At 42.4% G+C, this 21,488-nt stretch overlaps 1 protein-coding gene across 4 annotated transcripts, besides 4 other annotated features; it reads left to right on the forward strand.

Moving 5' to 3' along the window:
* On the forward strand, nt 5,116-21,484 carry ZNF223 (zinc finger protein 223). 4 transcript variants are annotated; one of them, XM_017027258.2, is made up of 5 exons: nt 5,116-5,286; nt 8,594-8,676; nt 13,940-14,066; nt 14,234-14,326; nt 19,549-21,484. In XM_017027258.2, exons 2-5 carry the CDS (start codon nt 8,662-8,664, stop codon nt 20,760-20,762), a joined length of 1,449 nt encoding a protein of 482 aa, XP_016882747.1. In that variant the 5' UTR covers nt 5,116-5,286; nt 8,594-8,661; the 3' UTR covers nt 20,763-21,484. The 4 variants fall into 4 exon arrangements, with proteins under 4 accessions (XP_016882747.1, XP_016882748.1, NP_037493.3 ...); XM_017027259.2 differs by lacking the exon at nt 5,116-5,286 and adding an exon at nt 5,521-6,242; NM_013361.6 differs by lacking the exon at nt 5,116-5,286 and adding an exon at nt 5,521-5,680.
* Nucleotides 5,187-5,688: an enhancer, noted in NCBI's record as "H3K27ac hESC enhancer chr19:44555855-44556356 (GRCh37/hg19 assembly coordinates)". NCBI's record gives its function as "activates a minimal SCP1, AML or CMV promoter by ChIP-STARR-seq in primed H9 embryonic stem cells {active_cell/tissue: H9 hESC(primed)}" and the evidence as "EXISTENCE:reporter gene assay evidence [ECO:0000049][PMID:30033119]".
* Nucleotides 5,187-5,747: a biological region, named in NCBI's record as "H3K27ac hESC enhancer GRCh37_chr19:44555855-44556356".
* Nucleotides 5,408-5,467: a silencer, noted in NCBI's record as "silent region_10733". NCBI's record gives its function as "represses an Ori minimal core promoter by ATAC-STARR-seq in GM12878 lymphoblastoid cells {active_cell/tissue: GM12878}" and the evidence as "EXISTENCE:reporter gene assay evidence [ECO:0000049][PMID:35858748]".
* Nucleotides 5,508-5,747: an enhancer, noted in NCBI's record as "active region_14751". NCBI's record gives its function as "activates an Ori minimal core promoter by ATAC-STARR-seq in GM12878 lymphoblastoid cells {active_cell/tissue: GM12878}" and the evidence as "EXISTENCE:reporter gene assay evidence [ECO:0000049][PMID:35858748]".

A 21,488-nucleotide genomic window follows, 5' to 3' on the forward strand; every position in this document is an offset into this window, starting at 1 on the left:
GTGATGAAATGGTTTAGAACTTAAGAGGTCGTGGTTTTGTATTTGTACGAGGTACCCTTGCCATTAAATTATATATTTTTAAATGGTTAATTTTATTTTTTGTAAATTACACTTAAAGAAAACTTATTTAAAATAATAAAGACTATGTTCAAAATATCTGGCATAGCCAAAAAACCTAGAAGCACAGTCAGAGAAAACTCAAACTATTTTTTTAAGAAAACATTTGGAAGATATGTTAATATTGTAAATGTATAAATAATACTTAAAATTAAGGAGAAAAGACCAAAAACACAATAGAAGATGGGACAAGAGATTTGTACAGTTTCCAAAAAATATAATAATGGTCCTTGAAAATATGCAAAGATGAGGTGCAGCAAACCACCATGGCACATATACCTATGTAACAAACCTGCATGTTCAGCACATGTATCCCACAACTTAAAGTAAAATAAAGAATAATTATTATTATTATAATAAATGTCATAACATTTTAGAGGGGGAAAGAAAATTAGAGATTATCTTATACAACTTGGTTATTTTACAAATGACAAAGCTGTGTTTCTAATTCTTTAACTTGTGAATAAATGTGATGAATAAATGTGGAAAAAAAGGAATATAGGCCTGACTGTGACATTTACAGGGTTCAGGGCAAGAATACAAATGGAGGCCTACCTACCATATGCCTTGATATTTAAGTGTACAAAGCAAGCTAATAACATGTAAAATAAAATATGTTCTACCCTTATAAAAAAAGAAAATATGCAAAGATATTCCATGATATTTACAAAAAAAAATACAAATTAAAACTACATTTAGTTACCATTTCTTACCATTAGATTGGGAAAACTTTAAAAACATCAAAATACCACATTCTGTTAGCTAGTGTCAAGGCAAGACATTCCTCATACATTGCTTCTGGAAATGAAAAATAGTATAAAATATAAAGGCAATTTGACAATATGCAACAAAATACACTTCTATTCCCATTTTGGCCCTGAAATCCTACTTTTTGAAATGTACCCTTAACATATATCATCAACAGGGAGAAAATATATATGTATGAGTTTATGTATCATGGCATTGTTTGTAGTAATAAAATATTGGAAACCACTGAAATGCCCATGAATGGGTGCAGTATTGAATAAAGCACACAATGGAGTTTGTGGAGTTGTGAAAAGCATGTACTCTATATGAAGTGATTTTCCAGGATATATTGTTGAGTGACCATAGAAGGTTTAGATGAATGCTACCTTTTGTTTAAGTAAACAGCGAAAATAAGAAATCTACATGTTTTCTGTAAAAACTGGTAATGATAAACCAGAAAATAATGAAATTGGTTACACATGGGTATTAGGAGTCAACACTGTGGAAGTGGTGCGGTGGAAAGGAGGGGAGTGAGTGGCACTTTTCTGAGAATAACATTTTGTATAGTATAGACTTATGGGAATATGTTATTGATTGACATAATAATATAAAATCAAGAATGGAGATAAACCAGGAAACTTAAAATCAAAGAATAACAGACTAACCTAAATGCATTCAAATCAATAACACAGACTAAAGATGAAAGCAAGAAGTCATTTAAGTACCATATTAAACACAGTACAGTATTTTGAGTATATGTCCTCAGCATAAAGACAAAAAGAACTGTAATGATGTTGAACTCTAGTTAGCTGAGTTATTTTTACAATAATATGACTTAGTAATTATGAAACTACCTGATGCAATGGTTTAAATGTTTGTGGACCACTAAAATTCACATGTTTAATTCCTTACCCCCAATAAGATGGTTTTAGGAGGTAGAGCCTTTGGAGGGTGATTAGATTATGAGGGCAGAACTCTTATTAATGGGATGAGTCCCTTTGTAAAAGAGACCTGAGGAAACTTGTTCATCACTTCCACCATTTGAGGACATTGCAACAAGGTGCCACCTATGAACCAGAAAGCAGCCCCACTTCAGACATAAAATCTCCCAGTGCCTTGATTGTGAGGAATAAGTTTCTGTTGCTTATAAGCCAGCTAGCCCATGGTTTTTTGTGACTAAGAATATTGGTATTGAGAAGTGGGATTGCTGTTGTAACAAATATCTAAAAATGTGGAAGTATCTTTGTGACTGTATAATGGGTAGAGGCTGGGAGACTTCTGAAATGCATGCTAGGAAAAACCTACATTGTCATGATTGGACTGTTAAAGACAATTCTGGTTAGGGCTCAGAAGGACAGAATGAGAGCTAGAGAAAGCATCAGTCTTCTTAGAGTAAACCTATGTGGTCACGATCAGAATGTTGATAGAAATATGGACAGTAAAGGCCATTATGATGAGACCTCAGTCAGAAATGTGGAACATGTTACTGGAAACTGAAGAAAGCGGGGTTCTTGTTATAAAGGGGTAAATAATTTGGCTGAATTATATTCAGGTCCTAGTGTTTTTTGGTAGGTAGAACTTGTGAGCAATGTAATTGAATATTTAGCTGACACTATTTCTTAACAATGTGTTGAAGTTGCATCTTGAATAATCTTGACTACCTATAGTAAAATGTAGAAAGTGAGAAGTGACTGAAAGCCGGAATTACTAATTAAAAGGTAAAGAGAACTAAATACTTTTAAAATTTGCAGCTTATCTACTTTGGAAAACATGCAAAACCCTGTCCTGGAGAAAACAAGGGTGTGGCTGAACAACTGATTTATGAGATTAGTATGGATTGACCATGTTGACTCAAACCAGGACCTATTGTCCAAGACAATGGAAGAATGACCCCAGAAGTATTTCACAGATCTTGGAGGCTGCTCCTCCCATCAGAGGCCCAGAGCACAGGGACGTGGGCAACAGCAGGGACCTTTGATGCCAGGTGCCGCCTAACATCTCAGGCTCAGCTCCTTGCATACACTACCACTGAGAGTATCAATAAATTTTATCTTTTGTGAATGCAGAGTAGAGTAAGGATACAGCTGTAATTGGTATAGGAATAGCCATCACTCAATTTTCAAGGGGGCATTGAAAATTTGTTTGGCACTATGTGGTTGCTCAGTCACCTTAATTTTTGTCCAAACCAAACTGTGAAACGTCAGCCAGGTGCAGTGGCTCACACCTGTAATCCCAGCACTTTGGGAGGCCAAGGTGGGCAGATCACGAGGTCAGGAGATTGAGACCATCCTGGCTAACACAGTGAAACCCCCATCTCTACTAAAAATACAAAAAATTAGCCAGGCGTAGTGGCACATGCCTGTAGTCCCAGCTACTTGGGAGGCTGAGGCAGGAGAATCACTTGAACCCAGGAAGCAGAGGTTGCAGTGAGCCGAGATCGCGCACTGCACTCTGGCCTGGGCAAAACAGCAAGACTCTGTATCAAAAAAAAATTGTGAACAGTCTTTTTTTAATTTTTTTTTATTTTTTTTTACTTTAGGAAAATGGATACAGGACATTAGACTCTTTTTAAAAAGAAAAATATAGGTCGACAGGTCAATGTATGTTTATTTGGGAGGACAAAAAATATGGTTTATCTTCAAAAGAGAATTTTAGATGAATTGTTTCCTGATTTAGCTTTATACTATTATTAATGTCTTTCAACTAACATATGCCAGTTTTCAAATTGTTTCCTATAATGAAGATATTTTAACCAAGAAATGGAAAGGAAGAAACTCTTAATAATAAATCATGCTCCGTCACCTATAGAATCTTCTCCAGTTTTATGGCATTGAATCAGACATTGGGTGTCAGATTGATACCAATGCCAAGCTCTTCAACAGTTATACTTGCTTTAAGATACTTAGCAATTCACTAACTTCTCTGAAATTTAGCGTTTCTACATCTAAAGTAGAAATATTACTACCATGAGAATGTTAAATGTAGCTTTTCCATGAGGACACAGCTTCTCCATTGGTGGCTGGAATTTTGTTTTTCCTGTCAAACCAGTGGTACCACAGCATCTGGACTAGGGCTGTAACTGAGAACCACCATTTTTCTAAGAGACAGCTTATTTATTTCTCTCTCTTTTCTCATTCCCTTAGTTCCCCACTTCCTATGTAGCCCTTTAAAAATGCAAATATAGACTTTTACCTCCCCTTCACCAGACACTTCCTACAGGGAAAGTTCATCTAACTGTGTGCTCCAAGCCAGAACTCTCCTCCAGAATTAACAGTCAATTTACAAACTAAAGCATGCTGGCCTCTGAACTCTCACTCACCAGGAGGTTGCCTGAAGAGACAACAGTTGAAAGCGTGCCTGCTACTCTCTCCCTTCTGGTTACAACTTATTTCTGCCCATGAAAAAGCCAGCTCAACTGCCTAATAGATAAGGCACCAAGCCAGCACACAGACCCCTTCCCTCTTCCTCCCCTACCTTTTAAAAGTGCCTGCTTTCTGCTCTAAAAGCCAAGCCGTGCACTTAAAGACAACACCTGTGCTACTTCCCCTACGCTAGCTCTAGAATAAATCACTTTCTTTATACCAGATCTCCCTCTTGTTAACTGGACGTTGCAAACGGGAAGCCACTGATCTACTTTTCAGTTACAGGGGCTGATGCTTTCCTGGCTTCTCATTGCCCCTCCCAACCCATTCTACCTGGCTCATTCTTTAAACCAGTGGTCCCCAACCGTTTTAGCACCATGGACCGGTTTTGTGGAAGACAATTTTTCCACGGACTGGGGAATGGTTTCGGGATGAAACTGTTCCACCTCAGCCATTAGATTCTCATAAGGAGCGCCTGACCTAGATCCTTCGCACGCACAGTTCACAATAGGATCCGCGCTCCTATGAGAATGTAATGCTGGGCTGATCTCACAGGAGGTGGAGCTCAGGCCATAATGCTCCCTCACCTGCCGCTCACTTCCTGCTGTGCCGCCCGGTTCCTAACAGTCAGTGGACCGGTACAGGTCTGTGGCCCTGGAGTTGGATATCCTTGCTTTAAACCCTGAGCCTCCTTTCAGCCATCTGACGGCTCAACAGTCACTCTATCTAGCTCCTTGAATATTGTATCTCCTCGCTTGTTCCCTGTCCAAGAACACTCCTGTCAATCATGGGAGACATTTAGACTTCATAAATTCTTTCTATTCAATATTTTCGCTCGAGGACTCTGGGAAGGACAACTGTCAGGGTAACAGTCTGCATTCCCCACCAGGAACCTGGGGCTATGAAATTCGTTCCCCGTGGGTGTTGCGGGAAGTGTAATCGAGGAGCACCATGTAGTCGCAACACTTGAGCCTAAAGGGTGAGGTGATGGACATTTTCCTTTTGCATCTGAGGCTCTGCAGTCCAGACACCTTGCGGGATTCCTGATACTTCAGCTCAGGTAGGCGTTTCCGGAGAATTCTGGGAAGAGTAGTCCATTTTACGGGAAGTGTAGTCCACTGGCTCGTGGAACACTGGGTATTTTGGCTCTGGCAGGTGAACCGTTGAATTCTGGGAACGATAGTCCAGACACTCTGCGGAGTCCCGGGCCCTTTGGCTCAGGGGGGCGGGTCCGGGGAATTCTGGGGAGTGGAGTCCAGACACTCTGGCGCAGAGAGGACACTTCCGGTCTCCTAGTCTGAGGTTCCTGCTTTAATGACCGGGGTAGTTTGAGCCATTTCTGCGTCTTGCAGGACATTTTGAACGAACCCCCTTTGCTTGAGGCTCGCAACCACCCGATGATCGATGATCGTCTCAGGGGAAAAGAAGCCTTGGCGAAGAGCAGAGGTTTAGAGGTGCGAGGGCGGGGAGGGTGTTTATTGTTCCCGTCAGCGGAGCCTTCTGGCGTCGGGGGGCTTTGCTCGCCTCCCGGGGGGTGGGATTGGGGTGGCCTTGTGTGCCCTGCTCTGAGGGTTTCCAGGACTTTGACCTCGCTCAGTCCGCCTCCCTACGTATGCAGTGTGTACACTCTTTCTCGCAGTGTGATGTGGAATGTTAATGTCTCTGTACTTCCCATTGCTGTTCTTTAAAATGGTGCTTATAGGGTCATCCTAATAGAATTGTTTTGCGAATTGAAAGAGATAATACAAATGAAAGCCTTAAAGTTGTCCCTGTCACTTGGTGAGTGGTCTCTTGTTGCCTGATATTTTAAAACGTTTGATATCATTTCAAAGCTATAGAAAAATTGCAAAAACAGTATAAGAAATTCTCATATACCCTTTACCCAAATTTGCCAAGTGTTTACATTTTTCCTGTTTGCTTTGTTGATGACCATCAACCAAATACCACCAGGAACATACCTGTAACCAGAGACAGCTGATTGGTAGCTTTCTGCAGCAAGGAAGCCCACATACCACGGTAATTGTGGGGTGTCTTGGTAAGAGGCATTTAGGAAGGGCTGGTTATAGGGTTTCACATAACATGGTAGATAATATTGGATATTATGTTAAATAATACTGTTACCGATTACATGTCAGATAGATGTGTTAAAAGAATACTAGTATTTGTAGTGTACTTACTAGATAGTGTTGGATAGCATATTACCTAGCATCATGTTATCTAATCTGCAGTTCCATATACGAATTTGTTAAATTTTTCATTTAAAGTCCTTATGACTGTCCTCTGCCCCACCCTTCACCTATTCAAAGTCCAGTTTATGCGTTGTCTTTAGCTGTCACATTTCCATAGTTGTTCATTTGGAGTTTGATATTGAAGGGGGCCTGCCTCTCCACACCTGTGGGTGTTTCTCACAAGGTGGAAATGAGAAACTGAGAAAAGAAATAAGACACAGACACAAAGTATAGAGGAAGAAAAGTGGGCCCAGGGGACCGGCGCTCAGCAAATGAGGACCTGTACCGGCACTGGTCTCTGAGTTCCCTCAGTATTTATTGATCACTATCTCTACTATCTTGGTGAGGGGGATGTGGAAGGACTATAGGGTAATGGTGGGGAGAGGGTCAGCCGGAAAACATGTGAGCAAAGGACTCTGTCATAAATAAGTTTAAGGAAAGGAGTTGTGCCTGGATGTGCACATAGGCCAGATTTATGTGTGACTTTACACAAACATCTCAGTGCAGTAAAGACCAGTATTGCCGCCAGTATGTCTCACCTCCAGCCATAAGGCGGTTTTCTCCTATCTCAGTAAATAGAATGTACGATTGGGTTTTATACCGAGACATTCCATTCCCAGGGATGAGCAGGAGACAGATGCCTTCCTCTTACCTCAACTGCAAAGAGGCCTTCCTCTTTCACTAATCCTCCTCAGCACAGACCCCTTATGGGTGTCGGGCTGGGGGACGGTCAGGTCTTTCCCTTCCCACGAGGCCATCTCTCAGGCTGTCTCAGTGGGTGGAAACCTTGGACAATGCCCAGGCTTTCTTGGGCAGAGGTCCCTGTGGCCTTCCGCAGTGTATGGTGTCCCTGGTTAATCGAGACTGGAGAATGGCAATGACTTTTACCAAGCATACTGCCTGCAAACACATTTTTACCAAAGCACATCCTGCACAGCCCTAAATCCATTAAACCTTGAGTCAATACAACACATGTTTCTGCGAGCACAGGGTTGGGGCTAGGGTTACAGATTAACAGCATCTCAAGGCAGAAGAATTTTTCTTAGTACAGATCAAAATGGAGTTTCTCATGTCTTCCTTTTTCTACGTAGACACAGTAACAGCCTGATCTCTTTTTCTTTCCCCTACAGATATATTTCACATTTAGGTTTAGATTATACATTGTTGGTGGGGATTCCACAGGAGTGTTAAGATGCCCTTTTCTTTTTTTTTTTTTTTGTTTGAGACAGTTTTGCTCTTGTCACCCAGGCTGGGGTACAATGGTGCAATAGGATGCCCTTTTCATTGTAACATAACAAGGTCCAAGTGATGTTCGTTTGTCCCTTCATTGGTGATCTCAGCTTTGTCACTGGCCAAGAAGATGTCTTTCAGATTTTTCCACTCTTATGTTACTTTTTTTTAAATTATGAAGTTTCTTATGGGAAAATACATTATTAGTGGGCATTTTCTTGTAAAAAAGAGCTTCCATTTCTCCTCTATTGGTTCATTGATTTGTTCAACTATAAATATTCTATCAATGTGGACTCAGAATCCAGTCTTATTGATTCTAATGATATGTGCATTAACAGTTTTTTTTTTAAACTCTAGGTTTATTTTAGTTATAGCATTCACCCATTTCAGGTATACAAGTCAGTTCAGTGGTCTTTAGGAACTTTGAAGTGGGGTAATCATCATCATAATTCAGCCGAGATCACTTTCATCCCCCAGTTGGACTCCTCATGCCCATTTACTTTGAACCTCATTCTCAACTCAAATTTAGAACAACTGCTAACCTACTTTCTATTCTATTCTACTTGTCTATTCCAGACATTTCATATAAATGGAATCGTAGGGTCTGTGGGTTTTTGTGACTTGCTTCTTTCATTTACTGTAATGTTTTCAAGGTTCACGGGTGTTGTTGCATGGGTCAGTATTTCATTCCTTTACATTTCCAAATAAGATTCCATTGTATGAATATGCCACAATTTTTCTGTCCCTTTACCTGTAGGAGAGCTTTTTGGTTGTGTGCAATTTGGGGTTAGTATGAATAATGCTGCTGTGAGCGTTCATGTGCTAATTGACAATATGAGTCCTTGTTGGTGGGTGACATCCCTGGCCACCCTTTCATGTCTCTTTTTCTGTCTTCATGGCACTTTCCAGGCACAATTCTGCTTTCCCTGGAACTGTGTCATTCAGGACTCTGCAAATTCCCTAAAGTAGGAGGAAAAATGACCATGTCCAAGGTAAGTAGGACTTGCCTCTCTTACTGTTAAAATTCCATCTCACTACTCAGATTGTTGTGTGTTTTTCTCTGCCCTGGGAAGACTCAAGGAGAACAGCAGGACTTTGAGGATCTCTTGTCACCTGGCTAATTTTTGTAGTATTAGTGGAGATGGGGTTTCATCATGTTGGCCAGGCTTGTATCGAACTTCTGACCTCAAGTGATCTGCCCGCCTCGGCCTCCCAAAGTGCTGGGATTATAGGCGTGAGCCACCGCACCCAGCCAGAAAGCCTTCATTTAAAATGGCTAGTAATACTGGGCTGGGTGCAGTGGCTCACACTGGTAATCCCAGCACTTTGGGAGGCTGAGGCAGGCGGATCACCTGAGGTCAGGAGTTCGAGACCAGTCTGACCAACATGGAGAAACCCCATCTCTACTAAAAATACAAAATTAACTGGGCATGGTGGTACATGCCTGTAATCCCAGCTACTCGGTAGGCTGAAGCACGAGAATCACTTCAAACCGGGAGGCGGAGGTTGCAGTGAGCTGAGATTGGGCCATTGCACTCCAGCCTGGGCAACAAGAGTGAAACTCTGTCTCAAAAAAGAAAACAAAACAAAAAAAGTCTAGTAATACTGAAGATTGGCCAGTCACTTGTGTACTGTCACTCATTTACTTCTCAAAGCAGCAGAATGAGGAGGTTCCTGATCTCTTCTCCTAAACTCATGAAATATGAGAAACCTGCTCAAAATCAGAGGCAATCAAGGAACAGGAATGTTAGCCATTCTGCTCAAGTGAAAGAGAGAGACGAGAAGAAAGAAAAATTCTCCACTGAGGGTCTGGTGACCTGTTGTGTGGATGTCTGGAGTGCTCCCTTGAGTGATGACATCCATAGGTGGCGCTGCTTCTCCCTGTCCTGCGTTGGTGTGACCTCTTCTTTTCCAGACCTGGCACCTACTCAGGTGTACTCATTGTTCCAAGTACCCAAGGACAGTGATTACCACAGCTGTTCTTATCTCCAAATTCCTCCTTATGGCACAAGATACCTCACACATTTTTTCTTTGGCTGGGCGCGGTGGCTCACACCTGTAATCCCAGCACTTTTTCGGAGGCTGAGGCAGGTGGATCACTAGGTCAGGAGATAGAGACCATCCTGGCTAATATGGTGAAACCCCGTCTGTACTAAAAATACAAAAAAAAAAAAAAAAAAAAAATTAGCCGGGCGTGGTGCGGGCGCCTGTAGTCCCAGCTACTCGGCAGGCTGAGGCAGGAGAATGGCGTGAACCCAGGAGGCGGAGCTTGCAGTGAGCCGAGATCGCGCCACTGCACTCCAGCCTGAGTGACAGAGTGAGACTCTGTCTCAAAAAAAAAAAAAAAATCCCTAAATTCCTCCTTATGGCATAAAATGCCTCACCATTTTTTTTTTTTTTTTTTTTTTTTTTGAGATAGAGTCTCTCTCTGTTGCCTAGGCTGGAGTACAGTGTTGCGATCTCAGCTCACTGCCAGCTCTGCCTCCCGGGTTTACGCCGTTCTCCTGCCTCAGCCTCCCGAGTAGCTGGGACTACAGGCGCCCGCCACCACACACCCGGCTAATTTTTTTGTGTGTTTTTAGTAGAGACGGGGTTTCACCGTGTTAGCCAGGATGGTCTCGATCTGACCTCATGATCTGCCTGCCTCGGCCTCCCAAAGTGCTGGGATTACAAGCGTGAACCACCGTGCCCGGCCCGCCTCACACATTGTTACCAGAAAAAATGACAACCTGGGGCAAAAATATTTACCCCTTGGATAGTTAAGGAAGAATAAATCCAGAATAAGAATCTTCTAAAAGGATAAAGAAAAAAGTTCAAACAGATTGGAACAAAGAATACTAAAAGGCAATTGTAAAAGAAGAAATAGAGATCGCCAATAATCTTGAAAAGTGGTGATACTCATTTATAATAATAAGTGAGAATGATAGAATGAATTGTTCTTCCTAATCAGATTACAAAACCATGGGAATATTTATAAACTGCTCTTGGCTATCATAAGGAGAATTAGGGTACTTGTATTCTGTTGAATGATTAGAGAGGTAGGGAAAAAAGTGAGAAGAAAGTATGCAATTATATAATGATAATATTAAATGTGCTTATTTTTCACATTTTAATTTTCATATGAAATTATTTTAAATGAGACAGAGTCAGATGTTCTTACATCTTACTACTTACCATATCATCTTGGCCGGACTGATAATGGAAAATATGTGAAATTAAATATTTATTATTTAGTGTAGCTAAAAATAGATCATCAGTTCCCTGGAATACTATGGAACCCTGAAATAGATAATGGTAATAACAGTAATAAGTAATACCAGCTAATGTTCATTAAACAGTCTGTGCCGTAGACTTTTCAAAATACCGTATATTTCTTTTCTTAATTCTTGAAAAAACTCTTGTCATGTAAGAACTATTATTCAGAGAGGGAACAAGCCTTGTAGGAAAACATGTCTGAGGTCACATGGTTAGAAATGGGCAGACTCTCAGAATGTGCACTGAGGCATTCTGGCTTCTGATCAGGACACTAAATGCTGCAATAAGCATATGTGGTTTGTGCCTTGCGAGTACAGAAGACACACTGCATAACTGTCTCAGGGTACCATGGAGCAGGTTCACTGTGCACTGATTACCAACTCGTGTGAGTCCTGTGGGACAGAACACATTCACACGCAACAGATTGCATGAAGCAGATTTATTACTACAGATTGGCAGCAGGCGAGCCCAGAAGCCTAGGGTCCAGTATGAGCTGGCCATCCAGGGCTCAAGAAAGCTACCTGGAGCAGATGGAATCTTGACTGTATGTGCCCCACTTGCACCAGAGCTGAGGCACCCCAGAAGGTAACCTGCCCCCATTTATATACTTCAGGGTGCCATGACTCATGGAGAAAAACTTGAAGGTCATCTTCCTTCCAGGTGAGAGAGGAACAAAGCCCAGACTGTCAAAGGCAGTTCCTCCCCATAATATTGCATTCTTAGAATAATCTACAGTTATTCTTGAGAACTACAAGCAATAAAGGGGAGAGAGCTGGGTGGGGTCTGCACCCCAACTGTCCTGCAGTCCATCCCCTGACCCAGATATCCCTCTTAGCAAACTGGTCCATTTCATATGTCCATCGACCTCCCCTGGCCTCCCCTGATCTTGTTAGATCAGTGTAACACCTTGACTGACACAATCTCTGCCAACTTCATGGAATTATAGCTGGAATACATTCCGTGGACCCCAGAGGAGCATGACCACAAGCAGCACAGCCAGACCTTCCTGAAGTAGTAATCCTGCCCAGGTCCCAGTTATCAAAATAAGAAGCTGCTGAAGATACCAAAGAAGAATCATTCAGGTGGCCCCAGTGTCTGAAGCCAGTGGACCTGCTTCTGGGTTGCCTCTCATTGAGTTTTTACAATAGCTATGTATCCAGAGAAGGCCGGAGGTGTTGGCAGTTGCAGACCCACTCCTCCCAGTAGGGCTAAAAGCACAGAGCACTTGTGTTTTTTGAACCTTCCTGAGGGAGTGAAGGGATGTTGCTGGGCTCCCAAGGCAGTGGCCGTGGAATAAACAGTATCTATCGGCCATTGCCTATGGCAGGTGTCTCATCATTTTTCATGGGAATTCACTTGTAGGTGTAGGACATAAATCTGGAGCTAGCTGCACCTCCAGGCAGGTCCCCAGTCAGCCTGGGGCACAGCTTTAGCCTTCTTGCCCAGTGGTGCATCTCGCTTCCAGGGTGACATCTAGGGGCACCCCCAGCATGCCTAATGTTTGGGATCTAACAGTCTGCCAGCTTTCCAGGCATGACATTGCCCACCCTGTATCTGGGTCACCCTCCAAACCAACCACAGAGAAAGCCATAAGGCTCAGGTGCACACAGCACCCATTCCCTTGTTTGGGTGTTCTGTGACCCATTTGTGGGAATGGGGACATTATCTTTTGCCAGCCACATCTCATTTTTGGCACAGTTGCATAAGGTCAGTTCCCCCAGTATGACATTCATGCGGCCCTTACAGAGAGGAATACCACTCATCCAGTCCTGGTTTTCATTATGTGGAACATTTCTCATCCAGGTAATCAAAGGAACATGGTGCGAGAAAGCACAGTCCACTGTAGCTTTGTTGAGGTTGTGTGATTCTGCTGCCTTACACCAGTTACCACAGGGCCCTCCAGCTCTCTCTCATGTGGCAGGTGCCAGGTTCTGACGTGACAAGCCAGGGTTATGGAGCTGTTGGTGTGCACTGTGGCATGAAGGATGCTGGTGTGGTTTACCATAGTCAGGATGAGAGGGTCACTGTGGTTGGTGATAGAATAAATGCAGGGTAGCAGATGGAACACTTAGCCAGGTGACATGAGGTGACTGCAGCTTGAGATAAGGAATGTGCTGTGCTTCCAGGCCTCTGCTGCCATATCCTTGGGGGAACAGCAGATTAATAGCTGTTGGATAGTGGGTGGGCTGAGGTGGTGCAGCGACCCAGTCTGTCTGTCCCTGTCCTGAGGCTACTACCATTGTAGACATCCATTCCCCTGGTTGTTTGGCTCAGACCTTCCTGCCTCAGTTGTTCAGTCAGGAAGGGACGTCACGTCCTATACAAAAAATGCCTGCTAGTGCCAGCCACCCAAATGGGATCAGGTGTCCCCAGTACCATCAGAAGGACCCTGGTGACCCCTATGGTATTCCGTGGTCTCATTCTTCACCACTGTGGGATCCCATAGAAGTCAGGGGATGTTCAGGAAAGCATCACCTCCAGATTAGAGTCAGGAGGACCTTTGTCAGTTACCGCGGTGATCTGAACCGCAAATTACCAACAGGATGTGCATTATAAAGGGGAAAAGGAAAAATAATTATTGGGAATACTGAGATTGGGGTTTCACAGCCACAGCCTCATCAACCGGCTGCCAGGTCGGGCAGATACTGACTGAATTGCTCACTGTCGCTGGGACTATTAGCAAGGTTCATTGAAACCTATATACGTGTAGCCCAGTATGCAGCATTTAGACTCCTAGGGGGCTACATACAAGTAAACTCAATGAGTTCACTAAATAAGACCACAAGACTTCTTTGTCGTTGGACTTCTGATGACGCTTGGGACAATCAAGGTGTGTCATTGTCAGGACACAGACTAGAATGAATGGGAATTCTATAAGTTGACCTACATCTCTGAAGATCCTGAAAAACTTTCCATTTTTCCTCTTGGCCTCCTCAATGTTCCTTCTCTCCCAGTAACCATTGGTAGTGAGATTGAGGTTGCATATGTTTGATGCTGTAGGAGGCAGTGACCTTCAAGGATGTGGCAGTGGTCTTCACTGAGGAGGAGCTGGGGCTGCTGGACCTTGCCCAGAGGAAGCTGTATCGAGATGTGATGCTGGAGAACTTCAGGAACCTGCTGTCAGTGGGTGAGGACAGGCATCTTCTATAAGGGAATGTCAGGCCCCAGGAGTGGTTTTGTATCCTAGGGTGTTCAAGTTTGAGTGTGCAGTGGGAACCTAAATTTCCAATAAGTGTTACCGTGATATTATCTAGAATATGTTGGGATTAAGCATGTGACTTTTCCTGTTTACAGGGCATCAACCATTCCACCGAGATACTTTCCACTTTCTAAGGGAGGAAAAGTTTTGGATGATGGATATAGCAACCCAAAGGGAAGGGAATTCAGGTAAGAAGCACGCAACTGTGTGTCCTTGTTTGTGACTTCCATCTGTTTTACTTCTGTGCACGTCCAACTCCATTACCTTCTTCTAAATGGCCAAACATCTTTGCTGGATTATGATAACCTCCTTCCAGCTAGTGGCCCTGCTCCGTGCCTTCCCACTCTGACATCTGTTCTCCTCATGGCAGCTAAAGTGATCCTTAGGACATGGATGTCAGATTGTCATTCCTCAGCTTAAGAGCCTTTCTGTCTTCTTAATTTTATGAAAGCCTCTTTAAGTTGCTTCTAGAAACCCCTGTGGTCTACTCTTCATTTTTCACTGCTTCTTGACTACATCTCCCATACTCTCCCTCATTCTCCATCTTTTCTGGCCACCTTGTCATCCCTCTTATTTCTCCATCCTGCCAAGGACACTGTATCACCTGTTGCTGGTACCCAATGACCACGAACTTAGATGATTAAATAAGAAGCATTTATTATTTCTCTGTTCTTTAGGCCTGAAGTCTGACACATCTCACTGGGAAAAAATCAAGCTGTCTTAGGGCTTTGTTCCTTTCTGGATGTTCATGGGGAGAAGGCTTCACTTTGTTTTACCAGTCCCTAGACACTGTCCACACTCCGTGGCTCTAGTTTCCATTCCTCCATCTTTGAAGGCAGCTACATTGCATCCTTGACCATTCTTCCAGAGTCATGCTCCCTCTGCCACTCTTCTTATGCCTATGTCTTTCACCTTTCAGGTCCCTTGTGGTTGTATTCATCACTCCTGTATGATCCAAGTTGACTTTCCTACTTTCTGCTTAGCTGATTAGTGACTTCAATGACATCTGCAGCCTTAATCTGCCTTGCTGTGTAATGTGTCAGAATCATAGGTCCTGAAGGCTGGATGTGGACATCTTTCAGGAACAATTATGTTCCCTACCACAGAAGCTTCTGCCTCAGGGCCCTCACTTGCTTTTCTCTCTGACTGGAGTCCTCTGTTCCCACAAAACTTACTGACCCCCTCTGTTAGTTTATGCAGGTGTCTGCTGAGTTTTAATGTCATGGAAGAGGTCATCTTCAAGCACCCTATTGAAAATACCATCCTATCTTTACTTGGCCTGCAAGTATTATGTGTCATATGCTTTTGTTTACTGATAGATCACCTGTTCCCTTTCAAATATAATCTCTACAAGGTGTTTATCTGTTTGTTTATGACTGCATCTTCAGTGCCTAGAATAGTCCTAGTACATGGAGGGATCTGTAAATATTTGGTATCCTGATGAATGAATTAATGGATGGGGGGACTTCACTGTCTGTAGGAATCATGGAGCTAGCTAATAAGTAATACATGAACCAGAGTGTATGAAATATATTAGTCCCTTGGAAGCCATAGGGGTTTGATTTCAGGACCCCACATGGATACCGAAAGCCAGAGATGTTCAAGTTCCTGATATATGTGAAGTCTTTGCCTATAACCTATGTACATCCTCCCATATACTTTAAATCATGTCTAGACCAGTTATAATACCAAATGCAATGCCTACCTGTCACTTCATTCACAAGGATTCAACATAGGACTCAGTGTGTGAGAAATTCCAGTTTTGCTCTTTGGAACTGGAATTTTTTTCCCTAAATATTTTTTATGTCCTGTTGGTTGAATCCATGGATGCCAAACCCATGGATATGGAGGGCTGATTATATATTGCAGAACAGATTTTTTTTTTCTCTGTGGATGGCTGCTTATCCATTTTCAACTTTCTTAGGTTTCCTTGACATGATTGGTTTTATGTGTGTGCAGTTGACCCATGTCCTGTGGAAACTTCTAAGCATAGCATTTTTTTTTTCATGACCACACTGAGTAATATGCCTTCCCTGGGACCTACCCTGGAGCTTTCCATAGGGAGCATATTTATATCTGAGAAGAAAGTCTTTTTGAATGAGGATTTGCAGCTAGCTTTCCTTTGAGAGATTTACCCATCTGCAGCCCATTTGCCTTTTCCAAAGTCGGCCCACACTTCACTGCCTCCAGTTCCTCCTTCCTTCCCTTAGAGGGGGAAGAATGAGGATGAGAGGACACAAGTTATGTAGCTGAATGTTGACTCTGTTTCTGGTCATCTTTCTTCAAAAATGTGCGTATTTCCCTTTTCTTTACATTATGCAAATTTAATTGTCAAAAAGTTAAAGGACAGGCTTTTTGTTTATTTTTATAGATTTAGTGCTATATTTTGAACTAGTAAGCTTTATGACCTGGAAGGAATTGGGGAATTACTTACTCAAAATAGAAACATCCTGAGACCCCTTCCCATCTCCTTAAAGACCTCTTATTTATAAGTCACAGTGTATTAAATATATCCATGTACCTATTAGACAGGATTGTTCCCTTGACCATCTTTGCGGGCAGGAACTTCAGGGTTTGTTTCACTCAGCCCACCGCTGTCGATTCCTTGCAGGAGGGAGTGTGCAAGCGAGCAAGTGCAGGAACCGGAGCAAATGAATGCTGGAATTGGCTGGTCGCTCCTCTCTGGCGAGAGCAGGCTCTGTTATGCACGCCCCACAGCAGTGTCCAAGCATGTTACAACCCATGCTGTTTCAGCTCTGCCATCTGGGGATGGCCAAGTGCCAATCAGCTCAGTGGAGCATCAGGGTAGCAGCCCCTGCCCTCTTGGCACCTGGGTTCTTGTCCAGCATCCAGGAAGAACCAGGTCACATGAACTGTGTGAAAGGTGATGAACGCAGAAGACTTTATTGAGTGGTGAGTGGTTCTCAGCAGAAAAGGAGGCTGGAAAGGGGCTGGGAAGGGGATCAACATGTTCCTGAAGCCAGGCCATTTGTGGCTGGGCCCCTCTCCAAAGCAGCACCTTCTGAAGTTAGCCACATCTATCCATACTTTCCGACACTCAGTTGCTTCTCTGCTCACCGCTCAGCGACTTGTATCCTTGCCACTCAGCTGCTTGTGTTGCTCTGCCAGCTGAAATCTTTTATGGTCACAGGATAGTGGCAGGCAGGCCAAAAAAAGCAACATTGGGGCAGAAAAATGGGGTCATCTGTTTTCACTTAGGGCTGAGGTTCTAGGCTTAAGGGTGGAGTTTGGCTAGGTATACTGATGGGTACCCACTTACCTATTAATATTTTCCAAGTTTCAACCTTTGGAACTTAACTCTCCATCAGAAAAATTTACCTAATTCAGGACTTGGTAATATCCTGACAAAGTTTTGAACATTTTGTGAGCATGAACCATAATAAGAAACACCTCTTTCAGTATAACCTGGACAGTTTTCATGCATGTAGGTGTATGTGAGTGACTTTAGCTGACATTTCATGTAACGACACCTTTCCTGCTTGTCTCCACACTGTGATAATTTTCATTCTGGCTCCTTTCTATAAATGTCTATTGAAGGTTTTAACTTTATTTCAGCTCACTGATGTGTAGTCTTGAATATAAAAACAGTTAAAAAGGCCTGTTTATCTACATCATAGGCTTTCTTTTCATTCCAAGTGATTCTTCACATCATTGATTGTCTGATGAAGAGCATCCTCCTTTGTGGACCTCTGGAAGGACAGCCTTTCAGATTCCCCTCAGAACTGCAGTTGTCTGTCTCTGTACTCTTTCAGATAACCAACTTATCATCCATATCAAAACAGAAAAATAAGATTAAGTATTTTATATGTGTCATGCAAAATTCTTGTATAGGAATACTTTCGATTTGTAGATATAAACATTCTAAGGTGTTTGATGTTTAGTATCATGAAGGGTTAAACTAAAAAGTTTAATGGGACATTTTACAGAGAACTGCTCTCACTTCACTCCAAGTGCAAATTCGGCAGTTTTTCAAAACTACCTTCACATTCAATAATTTCCTAGAAAGACCCTCAGAACTCACTGGATGTATTTATTCTCACAGTTACTGATTTTTACAAGCAAAAGATGCATATTATAGTTAACCAAGGGGGAAAAACCAAATAAGACAGAGTCCAGTGAAGTACCAAATGTGGATCTCCTATTGTATTCTCACAGTAGAGTCGGGCATGTTACATACCCAAAATTAGCATGTGACTTAGACACAAGGAACCACCAATCAGGGAAACTCAACTGAGTGCTGGGATCCAAGTAATTATTGGGGCTCCATTACATAGCCATAATTGGTTGGTTGATTCCTGTGTGGTTATTTAGTCTTTTGGTCCACTGGTTCCCTGTGACCTAAAGACCTACATTAAATCACATCGTTATTTTTTCTGACATGGGGAATGCCACCTGCCATTTCCCATCCCCCAAAGCTGTGGCTAGTCACAACCCTAAATTATATTATTTCACTGTCAAGAGTTACCCAAGATTTGCCCCCAAGCAAACAGAGAGACTCTCCTCAGGCATGCCCCTTCAAGATTCTACAGATTACCTCTCAGATACTGAGGACAAAGTCCTGACCTCTTTTTAGTTAGGTTAACTCCTTTTCTTATTTTTAAAAATGTTTTTTAAGCCATCTTAAACTGAAAGGAAGGTTAACTTCTTTATAAGGATATATAATATACAGGCAAATATACGAAGTATTTATTATGTTACTGCTTTCCCTTAGAGTTCCTTTTGATTCATATTTCATTACGTACATAATAGTTTAGTAATTTATCATGTAAAATTTCAGACTGAGTTGGAAATTTTAAAAACAGTAACAGGTTAAATGTATGTGTCATATTAATTTTTTATTAAACCTTTTATTTCTATCAATGATTTTTTATTTGAAATGTGGTATGTTTTTTTCTTTCTTTTCTTTTTTTTTTTTTTTTTTGAGGCAGAGTCTCACTGTGTCGCCCAGGCTGGAGTGCAGTGGCACGATCTCGGCTTGCTGCAACCTGCGCCTCCTGGGTTCAAGCAATTCTCCTGCCTCAGCCTCCCAAGTATCTGGGATTATAGGTGTGTGCCACCACACCTAGCTGATTTTTGTATTTTTAATAGAGACGGGGTTTCACTATGTTGGTCAGGCTGGTCCCGAATTCCTGACCTCAAGTGATCTGCCTGCCTCAGCTTCCCAAAGTGCCTTGGTCTCCCAAAGTGCTGGGATTATGGGTGTGAGCCACCGTCCCCAGTGACATGGTATGGTTTTAGATTACTCTCATGCAAACCAGAAACCAGGGTGCACTTGGAAAACACAAACTGAACATTCGTTGAAGTTTCATACCATGTCCTAAGTGTGAACTCTTAAAAACACTGAACAGGGCATAGCTTGTCCTGATCTCTTAATTTTGTATTCTGATAGGAGGCAAGATCCAACCTGAGATGAAGACTTTTCCAGAAGCAGGACCACATGAAGGGTGGTCCTGCCAGCAGATCTGGGAAGAAATTGCAAGTGATTTAACCAGGCCTCAAGACTCTACCATAAAGAGCTCTCAGTTCTTTGAACAGGGTGATGCCCACTCCCAGGTTGAGGAAGGACTATCTATAATGCACACAGGACAGAAACCTTCCAATTGTGGGAAGTGTAAACAATCCTTCAGTGATATGTCCATCTTTGATCTTCCTCAGCAAATACGCTCAGCAGAGAAGTCTCATTCCTGTGATGAGTGTGGAAAAAGCTTCTGTTACATCTCAGCGCTTCATATTCATCAGAGAGTCCACCTGGGAGAGAAACTCTTTAAGTGTGACGTGTGTGGTAAGGAATTCAGTCAGAGTTTACATCTGCAAACTCATCAGAGAGTCCATACTGGAGAGAAACCTTTCAAATGTGAACAATGTGGGAGAGGCTTCAGATGTAGATCAGCACTTACAGTTCATTGCAAATTACACATGGGAGAGAAACATTATAATTGTGAGGCATGTGGGAGGGCCTTCATTCATGATTTCCAGCTTCAGAAACATCAGAGAATTCACACAGGGGAGAAGCCATTCAAATGTGAGATATGTAGTGTGAGCTTCCGTCTTAGGTCAAGTCTTAATAGGCATTGTGTGGTCCACACAGGAAAGAAACCAAACAGCACTGGGGAATATGGAAAAGGCTTCATTCGTAGGCTGGATTTGTGTAAGCATCAGACGATCCACACAGGAGAGAAACCATATAATTGTAAAGAATGTGGGAAGAGCTTCAGACGGTCCTCCTATCTTTTGATCCATCAGCGAGTCCACACTGGAGAAAAGCCATACAAATGTGACAAGTGTGGGAAGAGCTACATTACTAAGTCAGGTCTTGACTTGCACCATAGAGCCCACACAGGAGAGAGACCTTATAACTGTGATGACTGTGGGAAGAGCTTTAGACAGGCCTCAAGTATTTTGAATCATAAGAGACTCCATTGCCGAAAAAAACCATTCAAATGTGAGGATTGTGGAAAGAAGCTTGTATACCGGTCATACCGTAAAGACCAACAAAAAAACCACAGTGGAGAAAATCCATCCAAATGTGAAGACTGTGGGAAGCGCTACAAGAGGCGCTTGAATCTTGATATAATTTTATCATTATTTTTAAATGACACGTAAGTGTTGTACATATTTATGGGGTACAGTGTGATATTTAAATATATGTATATGATGTATAATGATCAAATCAGTGTAATTAGCACATTTATCACCTCAATTATCTCTTTTTTGTGTTGAGAAAATTAAAAATTCATTGTTCCAGCAGTTTGAAAATAAATTGTTGTCGATGATAGTCACCTTTAGTGCTGCAGAACAGCAGAACTTCTTCCTCTTATCTACCTGTACTTTTGCATCCATTAGCCAACCTTTGGCCATCCCACCTATCCCTTACCCTTCCCTGCCTCTAGAGCCACTGTTCTCACTACTTCTAAGAAATCAGCTTTTTAAGCTTCCCCATGTGATTGAGGACAGTTTGAAGTTAGTGTTTCAGCCATAGCTCAGCATACCCCAGTGGTCGTGGGACTGTCAGAGCAGAGAATGCTGCAGGGTTTCTAACAGAAGTTTGACAATTAGTTATTATTCAGGAGACAGGTCTTAGTATAAGAGTTTGTTCACACACTTTCAAAACACTAATGATGAACATGTCAAAATTGATGACCACTAGAATGTCAGCCACATGTGTCTTTGTATTTTTGCTGCATCCTTACATTGCTTGAGTCTGGAAGATTGAGGCTGCACTGACCTATGGTAGTGCTACTGCACTCCAGCCAGGGCAACAGAGTGAGACCCTGTCTCCAAAAAAAAAAATTAAATAAATACCTTTCTTTGTTTCTAGACAAGCATCTC

Source organism: Homo sapiens, chromosome 19 (assembly GCF_000001405.40).
Source record: "Homo sapiens chromosome 19, GRCh38.p14 Primary Assembly".
Classification (NCBI taxonomy): domain Eukaryota; kingdom Metazoa; phylum Chordata; class Mammalia; order Primates; family Hominidae; genus Homo; species Homo sapiens.